At 39.8% G+C, this 23,090-nt stretch overlaps 1 long non-coding RNA gene across 1 annotated transcript; it reads right to left on the bottom strand.

Moving 5' to 3' along the window:
* Positions 1-6,532: 6,532 nt before the first annotated feature.
* LOC105377678 (uncharacterized) lies at positions 6,533-16,675 on the bottom strand. The gene is made up of 3 exons (XR_001742535.2): positions 16,590-16,675; positions 8,224-8,342; positions 6,533-7,068 (listed from the first exon to the last, which is right to left on the bottom strand). It is a non-coding gene; the product is annotated as an uncharacterized LOC105377678 (long non-coding RNA).
* Positions 16,676-23,090: the final 6,415 nt, after the last annotated feature.

Below are 23,090 nucleotides of genomic sequence, written 5' to 3'. Positions count from 1 at the left end.
TTTGAAAATTGATACAGAACCCAATGGCCCACAGTCCTGGATTTCTGGATCTAACCATGGTTGTTCTGAAAAGAGTGAAAGGAGACAGTAGAGACTTTCTGATACTGTTTATGTGTCTGTATCTCCATCTCCAATTTCTCCTACAATGCAAATAAACTCCTATAAGTACAAAGGGTTTAAAAGAACTGGGTATGGTATTTTTAAAGATGTTGTGACTTTTTAAAATTCAGAGGCTTCTAATATCCTCAAGCATTAGACCAGAAAACTTAAGACCTGGTTTTATAATAACAAACCAAAGCCCTCCATTTCTTGAAGGCTTCCTGCATACCAGGCACCATGTTAATTTTTTTTTTACATATTGTCTCATTTAATCCTCATAAGACCCTGTGAGATAGGCATAGACTTCCTCAACAGTAAAAAAGGTGAGTCATGTCCCATGTCTGAGCCTCAGATTCAAATCTGTACAATGGGGAAGTAAAATGCATGCCCATATAGCGGGGATAAGGAGAATAGGCTCAGGAATAAGACAACAAGGATTCAAGTCTCAACTCAGCAATTTATTAACTGGATAACTTTAATAAAATATTTAACATCTCTCAGGCTTCTAATCTGCCAAATGAGATGACTAGTAATATCTATCACACAGGAGTATTATAGGAGGACATGGCAATGTATATAAGACACTTAGAACAGCACATGACACATAGTGAGTCCTCAACAATAGATATTTATTACTATTAAGTGATTTATAAATTTGCTCTTTGTAAGTGCTATATAACCAGCAGATATTGCATATTAAATTTGTATAATATTTAGTAAAACAAAATTGTCACTAATATTATCTATATGTTTAGGATTGATTAGGGATCTTTGGGTCTAAATCCTTAAAACATAGAGGATATTATTGTTATAACAGATTCCAAAATCTTGAAAGCAAGCATCATGTTTGTCTTGTTCATTGTTGTATCCTTGAAGCCAAGCACAGTGCCCAACACAATGTAGGCACTCAACAAATATTTGGTGAATGTGTAAACTGAATACTCCCCCCACATACACAAATAATCTCCCCACTTTATATCCATCCAGGAGAGGCCTGGTTACTCACAGAGATACTTTCCCTCAACCCTAATGGCCACACGTATGCACTAACTCTTTTTAAAAGAATAACTTCATAAGATGAATAAAATATAAGATGATATCTTTTGAAAAGAATTCACTTTGTGTTCCCTGATACATTTAAACGATGACTCAATATGTCAAAAGTTTACTTATCCTCACCTTTTTATAAATTTGCCTATCCCAAAGTCAGATACAATGAGACCTTCACCCCAGGAACTTAAACATTATATTCACGTATTCATTCACCAAACTCCATGTTTAATAATCTCAGTTGGAAATAACAGAAACCTCACACAGGTTTAATAATAAAGAAACTTCTTACGACACATAACAGGAGGTCCACAGATAGTTGCTCAGGTTTTTTGTTTGGTTTGATTTAGCAGCTCATTATGTCATTAAAGACCTAGATTCTTTCTCTCTCGCCACTCTGCCATCCTTAGTGTTAGCTTCATTCAAACTGGCAGCCATTCACTGTCATTGTTGCAGGCATTGGTTGACCCTATTGGTTGTCTACCCAACAGTCATATTCTCCACCTTCCTCCTTTCTAACAGAAGCCCAGTTTTGTTCATGTATCAGAGATTAGTGTACGTCATTAACTCCTTCCCAATGTGGGTGTTCATGATCTAAGCCAATTACGGATATTTCATTGGTCTGCCCACAGTCAGTTAAAGAATGCATATCTGACAAAATCTGGGCATTGTAAGGGGAAGTGGGCTTTGGCCCTTCCAGGAACATTTATATTTATATAAAGGGACACAAGTCAGGAACTTGCCCTTTTACTGCCTCTGCACACAGCTGTGTGAGAAGGTGATTCTTGGAGTTGCTATGGCCACCTTGTCACCATGGAGAAAGGTATTAACACACAGAGTAAATAGATGTAAGGAACCTTGTGTTCCTTGAATTAACCAACTCTAGAACTGTCCTACTTCTGAACTTCTTGTTGTGATAAATTAGAAAATAAGCTCTTATTTTTAAAGATGATTCTACTTGGGTATTTGAGAAACAGCTCAAAGCACTGTGATATATAGTTATCACTACACAGACACAATTACTTCTGGAGAAAAGAGAAAGCTGATTTCATTCTGGGATTTCTCTTTAAATAGAAGAAAATTTATCCCAAAAGTCCCAACCTTTCCCCTTCTCTCCACCACTTCCTCTCAACTTTAATTGGTCACTACTAGGTCACATGTCAACTCTTGAACCAATCTTAAGCTAGTGGGATTAGATTATCGTAAACTCAATCAGGCAACCTGGGGACTGAGATGGGGGTCAACTGTCTCTGAGGTAAATGGTTGCATGGGGGAAGGGTAACTGACTGAATATAACTGAGTTCTGTTAGGAAGATGGGGTTGGATAATAGCTATTCATTTGCTGTATCTTGCTTATTGCCATATGCATAATATGGGCTGGACTTGGGGTTCCTCAGCAATTGGAAATGTTCAGCACAGCTCTACATTGGTAATCAAATCAAAGTCTGCATCCTTCTTTAGGACCCTATTTTTGGAACCTCAAAAACACTTAAATCTAAGCCAGCTCACCAGATCTCTATAGCTCTACTTGAACTCAGATCCAAACATGGGTTTTGCTAACAGATTTTATCTAAAGTGAGGTCAAAACAGGTTTTTTCCTACCGCCCACTAATTTTGCAGAACTGTAGAAACAATTCTTAAGCATACTGATGTATTCAAGAGCACTAACTTGCTTTCAGGCACATTTCTAATACTTTCATTTCCGATCAAGCTTTTCTAAACCTAAGTTGTCAGACTTCCTGGAGACTAAAATACTATTCTCCAAATTGGAAATAACTTTTCTTCTTTGAAGGTGACATGGTATAGTGGTTAAGAGGGCATACAAATCCCTGCTATACCACTAACTTGATGGTCCTTGGGCAAGTTGCTTAACCTCTTGATGCCTAATTTCCTCAATATAAAATGTGAATGAAAGTCATAGTTCCTACCTGATAGGGATGTAGAAAGGATTAAATGAATTTGTGCATGAAAACTGCTAAACCCAGTACCTGGGAAAATAAAATGTCAGCTCAGTGAGTATTAGCCTTTCCTGGTGTTTCTTCCTTCTCCATCTTTCTTCTCTCTCTCACTACATCATCACAGAGCTCCATCATCACAATTACTAGAACTAATTGATTGACCATTCTGGTTGAGTGTTGTCAATCAAATAGCTTGAATTTTTTCCCACTTGGTTTGACAAATTCACTATTTGGTATAATAGTTAAATTAGCCCATTAAATGAAAAAACATATAATATTTATATGATAATTTTCTCTACCCTGAGCATTCCCTGAGGCCATAGGACTGAGCCCTTCTGGACCAGGCCTCTGGAGCCTAGGTGGCTTCATTTTCTTCAGGCCGTGTTCCTGGCCTTGAGCCAGCTTCTCTCCACAGTCTCAGAGAGGCTGAGCTCCGAGAGTGCCTTAGGGACTCAACTTCATTGACTCGCAAAATCAAAATATACAAATTCCCCTCTAAAACCATGATATATAACTTGGAGAATATTGCCTCTCCACTGCATTAGAGCCCACCCTATTACCTTATGGAATTACCCACAGTGGCAGAAATCCATTCACCTGATCCACTGACACCCTGGGGGCAGCTCGGATAGCATAAAGCCAATTGATAGATGTATATTTGATTTATATTTTATGCCTGGAATTTATGTCTTCTGCATGTTTCATTTGCCATTCTGACTCACTTTATGCCACAGGAGAACTAGGGAAATTTCTAAAGTGACTGTGAAAGAAATAGCATGGAAGAAATGGGATAAAAATCTAAATAGCAATTTTTCTTTCTGATCTAAGACCTTGCACCTGAGCATCCTGATCAACTTTAAAGCACAGAGGAAACATCCCTCCTTTCCTTCTCCCAGGAAAGAATTATGAGTAGGATAACTAACCTGGAAGGATGAGAAATCTTTTCCCTGCAGACTAGCAGCTGGGCCAGGCCCCCACAACAAAGTGTGTATATGGGCCAAAGATAGGAGCAATAATAGAGCTGAAGGTATGCATTTTATTCTATATTGTTAGCTAGACCCTGCCACATGTTTTAGCTCATTTTATTTCATGCTCCAAGCCCACTGGAAGAAGATCAAGACTGGTGTACTCAGCCCCATGTTACTTGTATTTAAGAAAGGAGAATGGCCTGCCCAAGATCATGGCTGTGGCATGTGGCAAAGCTAGACTGAAACTCAGCCCCTGTCTCCTCCTTACTTCTTTAGTATGTGTATGAACAAATAAGAATTTGAGGCCGGGAGCAGTGGCTCACGCCTGTAATCCCAACAATTTGGAAGGCCAAGGTGGGAGGATTGCTTGAGCTTAGGAGGCTGAGACCAGCCTGGGCAATATGGCAAAACCCCATCTCTACAAAAAAGTACAAAAAATTAGCCAGGCCTGGTGTCACATGCCTGTACTTCCAGCTACTTGGGAGGCTGAGGTAGGAAGATCACTTGAGCCCAGGAGGTTGAGACTGCAGTGAGCTGAGATCACATGACTACACTCCACCCTAGGTGGCAGAGTAAGACCTCTCAAAAAAAAGAATTTAAGAAGCCTTCTTCATAAGTGCCTACATATAGAAAGAATCATCCTCCACGAATATTACATAGAGTCTTATTATATTTTCTATTTGCTCCAATAGCTTAACTTAAAGGAAAAAAGTTCACACCGATTTATAACAACTTACAAGTGCATGTGTGCACGCGTGCACACACACACACACACACACATAATCCTCACAGCAACCCCGTGAGGAAGGTACTATTCTTTTCTCTGTTTTACAGAAGATAAAACTGAGATATGGGAAGACTAAATAACTTCCAAGTAATGCAAGCCAGTCTCACTCCAGAAACTGTGCTCTTAACCACTCCATCATGCTGCTTTATCACACCATAAATGGAGAAATTGAAGTCCACACCTAAACAGTGACGTTGACAATAAGACCAGGTGTCCTGTCAGCTCAATATTTGGCACGTTAAGGATAGGTTCCAGGGAGATACGTAATCAACTGACCCAATCCCTTTGATTAATTCTCTCTGCCTCACTAGCTAAACTGCTCCGCTAGCCTTGGCTATTGAGTAAGGCAGTCATTCATTTCAACTTACCAAGTAATTCCAAGCACCTAGGCAGTGCAAAGCTCTAAGCTGTGCCCTGGTAACAAGACAGACACAGTCCTGTCCTCACAGAGCTTGTAGCCTGAAGGGTAAAGCATATATTAAAGTAGTAATAACAAGAGTGAAAGCAATAAGGCCAGGCTTTTTCACAGACTCTCGACTGAAAAAGATTGAAGAAGTCATGTAATCCAGCCCACCCAATGCAGAAATCTCCTCTACAATCTTTCCTTCACATGGTCATGCAATCTCTGCTGGAATCTTCAAGTCCAGAAAGCTCCTTCTTCCAACAACAGTACATTACAGTTTAATCATAGAGCATTTCCATATACTGAGTCTACTTCTTCTGCTCTATAATATCTGCCATTGTTTCAAATCTGCCTTCTGCAGCCCATAAACCAGAATCTATCTCTCTTCAACATGTTCTTTCAACATACTTGAGGACAGGTATCCAATGGCCTTCAAGTCTTCTCTTTTTGGGGTTAAATTTCTCCTTTTCCATCAACCATTACTCCTAGGCCATGGCTTCCAGTCTTTTTTTTTTTTTTTTAATTGAGTAGCAGGCACTGGGTGCTATAGAATTTGCCAATGACTAAAGTAAAGCACTACGAAAAATATTTTAAGTGTGGTCTGATCAATAGAGCGAAGTGGAACTATGATCTACATTGAACAGAATCCTGTAGTATTAATGACTACATTCATTGTTTTGGTTTTAATAATGATGACACAGAATTGGCTCATGTCATACTCAGATAATTGCCTGAATTTTTCAAAATGAGAGTTGTCAAAGTCAGGTCTCCTCAAAACGTCTACTTGGGTATCTGACTTTTTTTTTTTAGCCACATGCAGGGCTTTACATTTGCGTCTATTAAATTTAGTCTTAGTGAAGCTCAGATGATAGTGGATGTCTTTGTGCTTGGCGAATAACCCTGCCTGAGCCCCAAAACAATGATTTTCATAAGAAATCTACATAGACTAAGCAGTTGAAGATTTAAGTAGGCTTTGCTGAAGATGTTGGAGTTATAGAGAAGGATTCCATTATATAGAATTTCATATGAAGATTCCCTTCTCTGAACATCACACACCGGGGCCTATTGTGGGGTGGCAGGGAAGGAGAGGGAGAGCATTAGGACAAATACCTAATGCATGCAGGGCTTAAAACCTAGATCACAGGTTGATAGGTGCAGCAAACCTCCATGGCATATGTATACCTATGTAACAAACCTGTACGCTCTGCACATGTATCCCAGAACTTAAAGTAAAAGAAAAAAGAAAAGAAAATCCCCTTCTCTGAAGCTCCTTATTCCTTTCATACCAGCTCCAGAGCGCCTCTGGCTCCATTTCCCCATCATGCATCTCAGCCTTTCTAATCCTGTCCACTGACCCTTCTCCATCATTCCAACTCCAACCAAATTCCTCTCTCCTAAATTATGAAAACAATTCAGTCCAGCCCCAGCTCCAACTAACAAATTTGCCATCTCAATATACACAAGCAGCCAGGAAAAAAAACATATTCTCTTTTATGTAACAGGCCTATCCTCTTTAGACAGATAGTAATTGGTGTTCTATACAAACATTTATTAAGCATATACAATGGGCCAGGAACAGAAATCCTTGGAGTATGTAGTGATGAGCACTATTAGACATGATCCGTGACTTTACGGTACTTACCATCTGCTGGAAAAGGCAAACATCAGTCAAATAAACGCACTCAATGTAGATTCCTGGCAAAAATGTGCAGTGAAGAAAACATACCTCCATGTAACTGGAGAATTCAGTGTACTTAAGGAGACAGGAAGGGTTCTCTTAGGAAGTAGTGAATAAGCCGAGACCTAAAGGGCAGGAGGAATTAACAAGAGTATTCATTGTTACTGTATTTACAGTGGTGAAAACTGAAAGCAAAATAAATGTCCTTAAATATTGAAGAAACAATTTGAAGCATTAATTTATGGCATGTTCACATGATAAGACTATTAGAAATTCATTGAGTTAAATTTTTGATACTAAAATATTACAAAGATAAAAAGGCAAACCAACCTAATTTTTTAAATATCCATGTAAAAAATCCTAAATAAAATGTTAACAATGAGAATACAACATATTATGCAAATTGATTCATTCCAGGAATTCAAACATATTTCAATCTTAGAATATTCATTAATGAAATTCATCATATTAATAAGTCAAAGGAGAAAAATATGACTGCCTAGAAAATTGTCAAAAAGCATTTGATAAAATTTAAATTCACCTATAACTTAAAAAAAAAAACCTGACTTTTACTTTTTTCAGTCAAATGCTCTGCTACTGGGCTATGCTCCCTCTTTTAAAAAACTTCCTTTTTGAAAAAAGACATATGTAACCTCTCAAATTAAGAAACATGCTAACTACTGAAATACTAGAAGCATCTCCATTAAAGTCAGCAATAAATGTGAGACATGCTTTTACATTTTTTATTTAATATTGTTCTAAAAGGTGCCAGTCAGCATATGTAAAAGCAACAAAATAATAGATATGACTATTCAAAAAAAATGAATGCTCAGTTATCATTATTTTAATAATTATATACCTAAAAAGCATAAGATAACAAAAAATCATAGAAAAAATAAAAGCATTTAATAAAGCCAGTTACATAAGAAATATATGAAAATCAATGCCATTCTTATAAATGAACAGTAAATACTTACAGAATATAGAGGGGGAAAATTTTCCATTCACACTAGCAAAAATAATAATAACAATAATAAAGAATGAAAAGCCTAAAACTTGGAGTAAATAAAACAACAGTTTGGTGGAACATGTGCAAAAGTAAAAATAAAACTATTGAAGGACATTAAAAAACAAACAATGAAGAGATATAACTTGTTTTGGGGTAAGAAGATTCAATATTATAAACGTATCTGTTCTCCCCAGCAAATCTACATAATCAATGCAATCCCAGTAAAATTTGACAAGTAATTGTAAATGTCAATTTTAGTAAAACTACTCACCAGCAAGTAAAACCACACAAACAAATGTGAAGAAAAAGAAGGGAATGAGGACTGACTTGCTTCATATATGTTATATAGCAAATGTGTTATACAGCTATAGTGACTTAAAAATTTTCATCCTGGAAAAAATAGATGGACACGTAAATGATACAGATGAGACAGAACATGAATAAACTTGAGGATATATAAAAATTTAATATGTGCTAAAGAAAATGTTAGAATGATAATTTTTAGAAACTACATATCAGAATCTATAGGACACAACTAAAGCAGAAACCAGTAGAGATAAAAGAATGAAAATAAATTAAACAACCAAATTAAAAGCTGGAACAAGAATAATAAAGTAAATCAAAACAAAGCAGAAGGAAGAAAATAAATAGCAGAATTTAATGCTTTATAAAACTGAATAACAGAACTGGTCTTTCAAGAAATCAACAAAACAGACAAAGCACGAGCTTAATCAAGGAAAAAAATGGGAGAAAGCACAAATGCATAAAAAAGAAATGGCAAGGGGCAAACAACCACTGAAACTGAAAACTGAAGACATTAGAAAACACTTTGTGTAACTCTGTAAGAAATCTAAAAACCTAAATAAATGAATAATTCTATTTTTTTTTTTTTTTTTTTTGAGACGGAGTCTTGCTCTGTCGCCCAGGCTGGAGTGCAGCGGCGTGATCTCGGCTCACTGCAAGCTCTGCCTCCCGAGTTCACGCCATTCTCCTGCCTCAGCCTCCCAAGTAGCTGGGACTACAGGTGCCCGCCACCACGCCCGGCTAATTTTTTTTTGTATTTTTAGTAGAGACGGGGTTTCACCATGTTAGCCAGGATGGTCTCGATCTCCTGACCTCGTGATCCGCCCACCTCGGCCTCCCAAAGTGCTGGAATTACAGGTGTGAGCCATCACGCCCGGCCAAATAATTATTTAAAAAGGCAACTTCCCAAATTGATTCCAGTTAGAGAAAGTTTAAACATACCAATTTCTTATAAGAAATAGACAAAATTATCAAAGACCTACTTCAAAACAAACAAAAACTAACAATAAAAAAGCACTCAACCTAAATTATTTCATACACAAACTGTACGAAACCTTCCAAAAAGAAGTAATCCCAGTGCTACTTAAGCTGGTCCAGAGAATTAAAAAGGAATAAAATTTTCCCAATTCCTTTTGAGGCAAGTATGACACTGATACCTGAATCTGGTAAAGATTGTATCAAAAACTACAGACCAATCTCACTTGTAAATAGGGATGTAACAATAAATAAAATATTAGCAAAGAGAACCAAATAGCTAATTAAAATAATGTTCCAGACATGCAAGGAGAGTTCAACACAAGGAAATCCATTAATGTAATTCGACATGCTAATAAATCAAAGAGGGAAATCATGTGAACTATAAATACTGAGAAGGCAGTTGACAAAATTCAAATTTTTGTAAAATCTGAAAAATCTCAAATTTTAAGAAAACCTTTAAAATCCAGGAGTCAACAGAAACATGGGCATCCCTGGCATGCTCCTCTTGAAGGCAAAGCACACTCCCTCTGGCAGGGAGATTGTGGCAGTGGTTCGTTGTATGCAGGTGACCTCCCAGACGGGTGAGGGGGATCTGGGCAGGATACAGGCATCTGATGCATTAGAGAATAGACTATAGTAACAAAGTATCACCCCCACAGACTACTTCAAAATGCAAAGGAAATACAAACATATATATATATGTTTATATACATAAACATATGTTTATGTATATAAACATATAAATACAAACACATATATATGTTTATGTATATAAACATAAATACAAACATATATGTGTGTGTGTGTATATATATATGTATATATACATATTTACAATGAGAAATCTGGCTAGATATTGTTATGTACGTCATCTAACTGAATAGTCCCCCACCACTATCCAAGAAATAAGAAGAATCATCTCCATTTCACAGACAAAAATCTGAGGATCAAAGATGCTTAGAAACTTACTCAGAGAATATAGCTTGTAAGCACAGGGATTGGATTCATATGCAAACTGTCAAGTTCTAGTCCTAGTTCTACTCCACTCTCCTCCCCTTATCCCTCCAATGTCCTTCTCCAAGATCCTCAGTGACCAAACCTCAAAATAAGCCAGAGGGCAGGGGACTGCAGATGTAATCCATATTGATCAGCCTACTGAGACACAGAGCAGGGTGCAGTGTGAGGTCCACATCTGGAAAGGCTAATGGAAGGTAATAGGCACATCCAATGTCTTAACTGCAAAACAGGGATAACAAGAGTTTCTGCCACATGAGTTGTTCCAGAATTGAATAAGATACTGCATTTAAACATCTCAGCAGTGTCTTGACACGGATCAAATGCTCCATAAATATTAGCCATGTGAAAGACCGCCATTCACTTGCCTTGGTTAAATACCCTGAGTCACACAGGCATTTTTCACTCAAAAGTTAGGGTTTTGTACTTAAAGCTTGAAGAACATAAAGCAGCAGAGAAAGGACACAACTGGCTGTATCCATTAACATCCGCTGGAAAACTGGGTAAATACCACAAACAAACCAACATCCGGGCAGAGGAACAGGCTGATAAAATGAGAAGCACCAATTTACCCTCAAAACAACACTTTAAATCCATTTTAAAAGCAGTGCCAATGAGAAACATTTTCACCAAGGGAACATCTTTTTGAAATGTGGTCTCATTTTAGGAATATGGACTTTGCACCCTCCCATAGATGGTAAAGTTCACACTTAATAATTTTGGTCATAAATGACCACCTAAATATGTCAGAAATAATTTAGCATCTGTGACCCCTAGAGCTGAAAATGTAGATGAATGTAATTAACCTACTTCCAAAATTGAGAAAAAAAAATCTGCTCTATTCTCTCCTGACTTGGGAACATATGGCGTCGGATTACATGGTTGGCACCTGGCTGACTGCTGGGTCCATGTGTCGCATTCTAACACAAACAGGCAAACGCACAGAGCCTGCCCAGAGGAGTCACCAGCCAAATTCAAAATGGGCAGCTTGAGCCACAGGCTCGGCCAGAAACTGCTATTAACAGCCTGGTGGAGGAAATAGAGCTCTCAGCACCACCCTGCTGAGCCCAGTTTTCCCTCTTGCCCCATGACCTCCTCCATAAGCATGTTGAGAAGGACCCATGAGGTTGCATTCTCCGTTGACATACATCATCAGCACTCCTGGCTCTATTTGTTAGGAAGAAATTGAATTGGCCTCAACTCAACTTTGGGGTTGGCTTTCTTCAGTTAAAGTATTTTGAAGGAAGTAAATCTAACGAAATGCTTTCCATCCTAATTAAAGGTGTGCTTGTCACTCTCCCCACCCAAGCTCCAAAATCCTAGCATGTTTCTGTTGAGCAAAGGACATTCACCTCCAAACTAGTATAAAGAAAGCAAAATGTATCATCAGCACCCTCCAGCCTCACTGTTCTGTTCTCTTTCTCCTATCTTGTTATAGATTCCATCTCCTTCTGTGTAAATCAATCCAAAACCACTGATGCACCATGAGACTGAGTATGCACCTTTACATCCCAGCTCCCCAAATTTCCCACTGCAATTCTGAGTGCCCCTATATTAGATAATTATTTCCTTCCTGTGATTATTTCATTTCTCTCTCTCTTTTTTTTTTTTTTTTTTTTTTTTTTGCTTCTTTGTTTGAAATATGCCCACCCATTTCAGGTTGAGCCACGGATAAGGAGGGCTTAGCTCATGTCTCCTGTGGGAATTGAGGCATCTCAGGAAACAGTATAGAGTTGGTACAGTTAGAATGAGAAGAAGCCTGGGGAAAGAAACCAAGAGTGAGAAATGTGTGGCTATTTTGACTTAGCTGGAGCAACCCTCTCATAACAGGCTGGGAAGTGGAAGACATTAGTAACAAGGTGGAAAGATTACTAAAGGGATTTTTTAAATGAGTCTTTTCCAACAAACTGGAAGGATTCCTAAAACCAAATGAGAAAAGGTCAGCTATATCCACTAGAAAGACATACCCTCCCACCCCACTATCAATATACACCATCTGGACAGGACAGTGTAATGGTATGGAGGGCAGTTTTCTTCTTCCCATACCCCTGCCTTGGTGGCTGTAGTAGACATCTGCTGCTTCTCTCTGCCCAGAGTCTATTTCCTGTTTCTTCTGTTAGTAACATTCTCATGTGCTTAATGAAACAGCTCCTTTTCTACTACAAATGATTATAGTGGGGCCACATATCAAACACCTTACATTCATCTCCATCACCAATGGCCATATGGATGGGCATTTGACCCAAGTAAGCAAGACAGCTTCTTATTTTGCTGGCATAAATGAATTAATCCCAAGAAGTGGATGGGAAACCCAAGCGAGGTCAATTAAAATCTCCATTGAAATTTATATAAAACTGAAGCCTAGGGAAAGAGCACAGTCCTTTCTCTGGAGCTGCCAAGCTGGGAATATGTAAAACTGGAGCTGCCTGTGCCATGTCTCCCAATATGTGCAGGGAGTTACTAAACAGGTCTGTGTGGAGCAGGCAAGAGATGGGGCAAGGTGTGGAGGAGAGGGTTAGAGGTGGGGCAGAGGGATGATGAGTTGGAGGAGAGAAAGAAAGAAATATGGGAAAGGGTTTGGGGAGAAAGTGTAAGAGAAAGATGGAAAAATAGAGACATGGGAGAAGAGATGGGGAGGAGACAAAGAATCCATGAAAGAGAGGGGGAAGATGAGGGAGAAAGATGGGAGTAGAAATGGGGTGAGAGAAAGAAAGAAGAGAAAATGGAGAGAGAAAAATGGGAGAAACGAGGTACAGAGTGATGAGTGGAGAAAGGTGGAAGAAGAGATGAGGAGAGATAAAGGGAGAGGTGGAGGAGATAGGGAATTGAGGGAGAGAGGGAGGGAAACCGATGGGAGAGAATGGAAAAAGGAAAGAAAGGTATATAGAGACAGATACAAAAAGAACAATGGGAAGGGGTGAGGGCGAAGAGTAGGGAAAAGAAGAGAAGAGGGAAACCTGATGAGGTCTCTTGAGATCCTGGTTCCAGGCCATCCCTGAGACCACCTGCATCCTTGTGTATAATCAGATCGTGTTGGGTCTTTCACTGGCAACCAAAAGCATGATAACTATTCTAATGGCCTTAATTGAATCCAATCCTATTGCAAGCTGGGCTCTCATCGGCTTTGTTCTGGAACTCAAAGATATACCAGGGGTTTCTCTTATTACCTCAAAATATACATACCCTTAAAGAATCTAGCCAGCTGATTTCCATGCCTCAAATAAATGGAGAAAAGATCAGTTCCTTTCCCCTGCCAACAGAGAGCATGTAAAGATCTTCATTTCTTCCTTCCTACTTCCTGATTGCAATCTGGCTACAAGAAACCAATCCTAGACCAAAGATACAAAAGAAACTACTTGGAGGTTAAAAGCGACATTTAAGAGAAAATGATGTTGTACATCATACCAAAATTTAATATGACTTTATGCAAAATAGTAATGTGTCTGGTAATGCAAAGATTCTTCTAAAGTAGGTTAATAACAATCCAAGATTATTCTCCTTAAAAAAAATGAAAATGTATGTCAAATAAAAAAAGACCTAAAGTAGCTGAATCTTGTACCCATTGAAGGAGCTGATTTACATAGATAGCATTTAACATTCCATCATCATTATCCTATCAGTCTCCTGTCTAATGTACAAGCTAAAGACGTTCAATGTGCTTAGAGGTTAAAAAAAAAAAAAAAAAAAAAAAACATACCCTACACCCACCAGCCAAAATGGTGGTAAATGACAAAGAAGAAAAAGGAAAAAAGAAGAAAAAAAATAATTTTAGGCAGACAGATGAATATCAACTGGAATGAGAAAAAGACTCTCTCCCCCCTCCCTTCTACACCAATATAGTAACCTAAAAGGTTGAATAAAAGAAAACTAAATATTTAAGAGTAAAATGTGGTTATCAAATGGGGAGAAGGGAAAAAAAGGGAGACAGCATTATGATAATAGTTGAGTCTGCCACTGCTAGAGGAAGCAGCTTCGAGCATGCCCGCCTTGAATTAAATGGAAGGCAAATTTAAATGAAATACAGTTTGTCCTTTAGAGTCCAGTGTCTGAATATTTTTAGATTTTTTTTTAATGTTAAACGAATTTACTTCTGATGAGAAGAGCCAAGAGGAACACCCCGCAGAGATTATGCATAGTGTGGGTACAAATGGAGAGAGGAAACAGAGGGTCACTATTTGTATATCCTCCATGTCTTGACAGCAACTTCTTGACCAGGTATGTGGCTGTGGACTTGCACGTCTTAGGGTTCCTCTAGTGCCTGTGCCAGCATGTCAAGAAGACCAGAAGGATCAGAGGCAAAATGAAGCCTTGGCAGTTGTAAAGCCATCCACCCATCAACCTAAGCACTAAGTAGTTCTGAACTGTACCAAGACTAGCAGAGAAAAGCCATAGCTTTCTAAAGTGTGTGACCAGGGTGGGTATGGAAAGGTGCTCTTCATGTCAGTAGAAAGAGAGGTAAGCAGAGGCAAAGGGAGAAGAAAAAGAGAAACAATAGGGCAGGAGAAAAAAGAGCACGGAAGTGGGCGAAGAAAGATGGAAATGATGACAGAGAAAATGGAAAAGAGATGGAGAAAAATTAGTCAAGGAAAATGAAATTATCTCAGCCTCCATGCATCTGGTTTCTTACTGTGAATGCCTAAGCTGAGACCCAGACTTTCAACAGTTACTCCAAACACACGCTCTGCTAGTCCCCAGCTCATGACCAGCGACAGTCATCCCTAATGCCGCATTCTCCTCTTTCCTGCCAAGCCCAAGTGCACATCAGAGTCCTTTCAAACACAGCATTCCTGGCAGTGCCTGCTAGTAAGGGGGACTCTGCCTGTAATATATTATCATCAGTCCTAGAGATTTTTCTCGGACTCCCTCAAATCCAGATGGTACATCCTGCAGCAACCATCCACTCAACAGCAGGTCTTGCTCATGTCTGGGATTTTTTCCTAGCAACAGCAAATTTTATTTACAAGAAAAAGGGACAAAAGTCAATTAAATAAAGTGTGATGCCAAGAGAAATATGCAGAAACTCCCCAAAACTGGAGGAAAAAAAAAACCTAACAACCTTGGGCCATGTCTCTTTTTGTCCTACCCCACAAATGTGACAAGACTAAACCAGACAAACTAGGTTCTCTCAGCCAGCAGTCTAGTCTACTAAAGAACAAAGATAAAATAAAGTGACAGCTTTTGAATATTAATAGGGCATATCAGCAAGGATGAGCAGGAAACAGTCGAAGTCATCCACAAGTTCTAAAATCAGCTCCTAAAAGCCCGAATTCATCTCATCGCTCCCCACTTAAGAATTCCACTTAGAAAATGAATCTTTATTTCAAAAATAAACTTCTGAGATGCCTAGAGATAAAAGCAGAGAAAGAAATACTGACACTCCACAGGACCATTTCTCACTCATCTTCTCCCCCAGGGCCCATCACGATGCCAAGCATATTATAGATGCTCAATAAATGTTTGTGTCAGGAATGATATGAAAAGAAAAAGAGTGTTTTAAAATCAACTTCAGAATGGAAATGGGCTTTGAAAACAAGCTGGTCCCAATCAGAATCATGGAAATTGAAAATAGAGTTTGAGGTAACTGAAATCTACTTCAGACATTACCTATGCAATATTTGGAGGGTTTTCATTTCTAAACAAAAGCAGAAACAAAGTTTTCTGGGGCACTACATTTCCATCTTTTTTATTCACTCACTCACATATTCAATCATCCGTGCAATAAATTTTACTGGGTGCCTACTATGTGCCATGCAGTATGGAAGGTTCCAAGACTCTGGTGGAAAAAAAAAAAAAAGCCAAGGACCCAGCTCTCACAGAACTTATATTTGCTTCATTTCTTTTCCCCACCCTAAGCCTCACCCTAGACCAATCCATTTACATGCTTGAGCCATTTCAAAATCCTGAATTGCCTCCCTACCACAAGCACTCCCTATTTCCCCAATTCATCTCGCCCACCCACTCTTTATTAATCTATCTAAAAGATTACTGTTATCATGTTGTTCACCTGCTCAAAACCCTCCAGCAGCTCTCTAGTATCAACAACTCAATTTAGGACACATTTCTCAACTTCGTATTAGGCAAAGTACTAGAATTAGAAAACAAATTCCGCAATTCTCAGCATAGCACTGAAGACCATATTAGTTATTTATTACTATAGATCAAGTTACTCCAAAATTTGGCAGCTTAAAACAACAAATGAGTATTATTTTCCAGTGTCTGTAAGTCAGGAATCCAGAAGCTTAGGAATTAAAACAAGGTTGCAGTCAAGTTGTCAGCCAGAGCTGCAGTCATCTGAAGGCTTGACTGAAGATGGATTATCTGCTTCCAAAATGCCACACTCACATGGCTGTTGATGGATGGCTTGGTTTCCCACATGGACATCTCTCTAAAGGGCTTCTTGAGTCTCCTCATGGCATACAGCCTGCATCTCCCAAGGTGAGAAACTTTAGAGAGAAAAAGAGGAGGAAGCCACAATGCCGTTACAGTAGTAACTTCCTAGTCTTGGAAATCACACCCAACTCCTTCTGCTATATTCTATTAGAAGTCAGTCACTAAGTCCATCTCATATCATATTCCTTCATCTCTTGAAGGGAAAAATATCAAAGAATTTGTGCGACCACAAAACTATCTATAATCATGACAGGAGCGGTGGCTCATGCCTGTGATCCCAGCATTTTAGGGGTCAAAGCAGGAGGACTAGTCTCTACAAGTCCTCCTGAGTTTGAGAGTTTGAGACCACCTTGGACAATATAGTGACAAAAATATACAAAAAAATTTAAAAATCAGCTAGGCATGGTGGCATGCACCTGAGGTTCCAGCTACTTGTGGAGCTGAGGTGGGAGGATCGCTTGAGCCCAGTAGGCTGAGACTGCAGTGAGCCATGACCTACCACTGCACTCCAGCCTGTGTGACAAAGTGAGACTCCATCTCCAGAAAAAGAAAAAAAGAAAAAGAAAACTATTATCAGACTCTAACCCACTGACCTATTTTTACATCTCTAGGCTGGTATTTCCAGCTTAACCTCTTGCACTCCAACCTAGCTGGTTCTCCTGAATAGACTGGACCCATTGTGCTATGGTTTGAATATGTCCCCTTCAAAAATCCAGGTGTTGGAACTTAATAGCCAATGTGATGGTATTAAGAAGTAGGGCCTTTAAAAGGTGATTAGGCTATGGGGTTTTTTTCCCTTATGAATGGGATTAAAGTCTTTAATAAAAGAGACTTCACACAGCGTTCCATTCACCTGCCCTTCTACCTTCCGCCATGTGAGGACAAAGCATTCCTCCCCTCCTGAAAGATACAGCAGCAAGGTGCCATCTTGGAGGCATAGAGCAGCCCTCACCAGACAACCAAACCTGCTGGTGCCTTGGCCTTCCCAGCCTCCAGAAAACAAATCTCTGTTCTTTACAAATACTCAGTCTGTGTTTTCTTATAGTAGCACAAACAGACCAAGGTGCACTATCAATACCAACTCTTTCCTCATATTGTTCACACATTGCCCCCCTCCTCTGCGTTCCAAATCTCACATACCCAGAGAGAGAGCACAGCACAGTGGATAAGATTATAGACACTGGGTTGTCTAGATGCAAATTCCACCTCTACTTTTTGTGAGTTACTTAACCTCCCTTTACCTTGATTTCCTCACCTATAAAATGATGATCATAGTGCCTACTTTATAAGCTTGTTACAACAATTAAATAAATCAATATTGACAAATTACCAAGAATAGGGCTTGGCATGTAGTAAGTGCTATTATAATAATAAATAATATAAACATATATATATATATATATAAAAAACTCTTTTGCATCCAGTTCAAGTTCCATGCTATAACCCAGTGACTCCTTCACTAAGCTCCTATTGCTATAACTGTGACTCATTTTATAACAACTTCAGTCAAATCTACAAATTTTCACTTAATTATCTCACTTATGGATGTCTTACCTCACTTCGCAATCGTTTCCTGACTGTCTATAAATTCTGTATTCATAAGGCCCAGGAGAGAGTCGATATCAAAGAAAGGAAGAAATTCATTCAAATTAGCTCCCAGAAAAAATAGGGGTCAGGCCGTCTCCTCAAACACCAAAGAAACTACACTCATTATTTCCATGTGACCCATTCATATCATAGAGCCAACCCAAGTGAGGCTTTCCCACAAAGTCAGCCTTATGTGGGCTCACTTCCCCCCAAAAGAGGAACTTATGGAAACACCAAGTGGATCAGGTGGGGATGTCTTGAGACCTGGGGGTGGGGAAGGACTGGGGTGAGCCTTAAAGAGGGGGACCCAGGCACTGCTATAGCCTTAGGTAAAGCAAGCTTCAATCTTACAAGATTGTTAAAATTTCAAGAGCCTAACATTTCAAAATGGTCACCACCAAATGTTCCTTCTCCATCCAAGTCTCAGGCATCATGGAGTTTTAAGTCTCCCCATCTGCACTTTTTCCCAAAGGTGGTGTTTCCCTTCCCCAAAAGTTCACAGCTTCTGGTCAAAGCCAAAATCTGTGTTAGACCATTTCTCATAGTTGGAACCTGCAGGGACTCCCAGGTGAAAATACAGGCAATAGGAATTCATAGCTATAGAAGGCTTCTGGAAAAAAAGTTCTTTCCCCATCACAGAAAAAAGGTTCTAGTGGTCTTGATATGGCCACTAAGAGACTACATTCATTCACAGAGTCATTTATCCATTTGTTCATTCATTCATTCCTTTTGGAACGAATCTTTACTAAGCATGTGCTAAGCACATTGAGTGATACCAAGAAGCAGAATATCAGTATCTGGACTTCAAGAATCTTGCCTGGAACAAGTCATTCTGTTAGGCCTCAATTTCTTTGTCTATAAAATGAGGAGGTTGGACAGTCTCTAGGGTTCTTTTCACTTTTTAAAAAAATGCTATTTGTCTGACTCTAATGGTTTCTCTGCTTTGTCAGGCAGGGTTGCTATGAAGATGAAGTTTAAAAATGTGCATGAAAGTGCTTTGAAAACTATAAAGCACTGTTCAAAATGTGTGGCATTATCCTCATTGTTGTTGCCATAGCCCAAAAAAAGTCCCTAGGGAAAAGTTTTCAAAGACCTTCTTGATAACATCCCACTGGGATCCTAAATAGGAAAAGCTCTTCTTCAAGTCTCACTGGGATCTCTCCTGCTGCTGGAGAGGTCCACAGGGTTGCTTCTGTACATTAGCAGCTTTGGAAAAAATGCTTTTCAGAGACTGCAACTGCCCCCGGGAAAAATTTTTTATTATTTGACCTAATTCTGAGGTCTAGTCTAGGTCCAGAAGGAAAACAAGCTGGATCAATTAGTGACGTCTGCTATGGTCACAGGATGGAGAAGTGATCACTAGCTGATTGATATTTCTGGACTCCTTTTGTAGCTACAATGTATGAGCATCCATTATATACCAGGTATTTTACTAAGGGTTTCACAAGCATTATCTCATTTATGAGGCAGGTACTAATATTAAACCCATTTTATGGATAAGGAAACCAAGACCCAGAGAAGCTGCCTTGCCCAAGATCTACTATGTTGCAGAGCCAGAATTTAAAACAAGGGCTAAGCAATCCCAAGGCAGTGTACTTTATTATGACAATACACTGAACTTTAGCTGGGATCCTAAGACAGCATACAAATAAAAGTAAACCAAAGGACCCTTCTTATGTTTTTCCTAAATAATAGATGAAATTGTTAAACATCAGCTTGAGGTTGGAAGATTGTCGGCAGTCTCTGCCTTAGTACAGGGATTGAGCCTCTAAAGCTACAGCCTGCAAACTTTTTGGATTACATACTCCATTAGTTTTTTAAAAATTGTGTCATCCAAGCCAGTATATAAATATCTTAATGTATTTATTTTTAAATTTCATACATATATCACAACACTATAGATACATATTAAAACATATCGAAAAACGAAAACTTTTAATGAGAACTATATATAAATACAAATTCTAATATATCTCCCCAAACTCCAGCGGGATTGTTGTGTTCAATCTCTGAGATACAGCCACTTTCAATAACCCCAAGTGAGAACAATGTGTTTTGCTTATTTTCTTTCCTTCTGTTTCCTCTCTGGGCTCAGCTTCAGGGCTTTTCCTAGGCATAATGTCCAAGAGTGGGACACCCTTCCCTACCTACCTTCAACCCCAACCCTACCTTCATCCCATTCCCAGCCTTATCTGCCAACCCCTGCCCTCCACACCCCACTTCTCCAGGCTCCCAGGCATACCCATACCTTTAGGCTTTTTCACACCCACTACCTAAAGTCCCCCCTTTGAGTCCTTGTCCAGGACTGGCATCTCCTGCTGTGGCTAATGCCCGTGCATTCATTCTTTCGTGCAGCCAATGAACAGAACACTAAGCACTTGTTACAGGCAGGACCAAGAATCCAAAGATAAATCAGTCCCAGGCATACCCATACAAGGAGGCAAATTAACCCATATATATTAACCAATATGTTGTTAAGTTGAAAGTGATTAGGTCACTAAGAGAGGCATGGGAGAGATAATTTCCAGCTAGAAGGCTCAGGGGAAGGTGTATGAATAAGGAGGCTGAATTGAGGGCAGGGGCAGAACTCAGAAAGAGCAGGAGATACACCTCAGGCCCAGGGAGTACTGAGAAGCAAAGGCAAAGAGATGGGGGAACTTCCTAAAGAGAACAAAAGATGTGGGCAAGATAATAGTCAACAGGTGAGAGCTGGTACATGGACTGTGCATTCCTGGCAGAGAGAACATTTACAATAAAAGTGAAAGATAGAATAGCCACAGTGGCTGCAGCAGGCAGTCTAAGGAGTGTAGAACTTAATAGGGCTGTAGCAATGGGCATGGCCCAAACCCTGCAAAGCTCACAGGGTGAATTGAGTCATTGAGGGAGAGAGTGTGCAGAACAGCCATGATCAGATTCACCTTCTAGAAAGATGGGTTGGCTGTACTGTGCAGAGTGCATTGTAGGAAGGCAGATAAGGGAGGTTACATCACCTGGGCACTTTCCTCTAGGAGTGGAAGCATTGCCAGATTGTTGTCTGGAACATCTTTGCAGGGCAAAATGTCTCTGTTCTAAAGAACATTCCTAGCCTATTCCTCAGTATTCTGAGGCCTTCTGTGACTCCCCTGCAGCCAGGCTGCCGTCAGAATTAACCACACATCGTGGCTTGCAAAAAAAAATAAGGACAGGGGAACTCCTGGACCAACCACTGCACTTTCTACAGGCCAGCCCATCTCTTTACAGCCTGGTGACTTTGGGAAAAGATTTCTAGCCATTCAGCCCTCTACAGCCTGGGGTGGGCCTCCTCGTGGCAGGACAGATTCTTCTCTTGGTCAATCAAAAACTTGGGAATCAGATTTTCCATTCAGTTCCAAGGGTGCTCTGGCCTGAGCTGACACACTGCCTCTTTAAACACATTATGAAGATTATCAGCAATGTATCAAGGTGTCTTTGCAGAATGGTATAAACTTCGGCTGCACTACTTATTGCCATAAACCACACTTCCAGGTTTTTATTTATATGCGCATTAGTTCAATATGATTGGATCTGTAGGCAGCAGAGGGGATTGGAGTAATTTATATATATATCAATAAAGGTCTCCAGCCAGCCACTGGGTGCTCTAAGGGGAACAGTACTTCCATTTAAAACGCTAGGAACTGGAGAAATTGAAAATAACTCTCTATTTAGAGGCCAAGGATTAAGGCATTTTGCAAGGAAGGTCTCAGCCCAGCCAGGCTATGCTAAAAAGGCTGTTAAAATGTCATTTGGCTGATAGTTAAGCCACAGATTTTACCTTAACCCCTTCGTCTCAATTGGATTTTTTTCTATGAAGCATGGACTCTAACAGGAAGACAGAACAGTGTCCACACTGGTGGAAAAGGTGGCAGAGTTCATGGGCATATGTCGGCTTTTGTCTCCTAATGTCTATTTCCACTTTCTACTGAGAGCATCACCTCAGTGAACTCTTGCACACCCATTGCGTGAGGTCTTCATGAGGCAACTGGTCAAGGTTCTTTGTGATCCCAGGCCAAGGAAGGCTCCTTGTACAAGCTGAGCCAATCAGATGCTCTCTCACAAGATTTTGACAAAGTGCTGTGAGGATGAAAAATAGTGGAAACTAACTTATCCCAGCAGTGGTACTCTGAAGAAACCCTCTGTTAGTTCCTGCCATCCACTCCAGGGGAGCTGCTGTGGCTCTTGATTCTTAAGCTTTTTCTCCCATTTTATGAACCATGAAATAGCCTTCCAATAAGTTCTCCTGCTTAGCTTAGCCAAGGGTTCTGCTGATTGCAACTAAGGAGCCTATGCAAGCAGGATAGCAGGGCCAGGAGTCTTGCCCATTAGGCTTGGCCCCCTCACGCTGGCTATGTGACCATGGCCAAGGAACCTCTCTACTGTGCGTATCAGTTTCACCTGTTAAATGAAAGTATTGGGAGAGGCCAATGGTTCTCAGATTTCAGGGAGGAGCTAGGGATCTTGTTGAAAACCTAGATTCTGATTTAGATGTTTTAGGGTGGGGCCCAGGCATCTGCTTTGTAACCAGCAGTGAGGCTGTGCCCACCAAACCTTAAGAGCACATTTTCAAATGATGCCTTCTGGGGCACTTCGTTATGTTGAGGACCACAGGGATGACCTCTGGGGGAAGGCAGAGTTGAGGTGGGTGGCACTCTTGTTTCGACGAGGCAGTCTCCTTTTATGCTTTATATATTGAGGCTCTATATTAAATTTCCTCTGCAGAAAGGGCTCTACCACCGAGAAAAAAAAGTTGAAAACCAGCGGACTGGGGCCACTAGATAATCTCTAAGGAAGCTTACTGTTCTGATTACACACTGCACCTCCTGCATTGCTTCCAAAGAGAAGCAGGTGTCA

This window comes from Homo sapiens, chromosome 5, assembly GCF_000001405.40.
Source record: "Homo sapiens chromosome 5, GRCh38.p14 Primary Assembly".
Lineage (NCBI taxonomy): Eukaryota > Metazoa > Chordata > Mammalia > Primates > Hominidae > Homo > Homo sapiens.
Note: the sequence above shows the minus strand (reverse complement) of the source record. Positions and strands in the feature narration are given on the sequence as shown.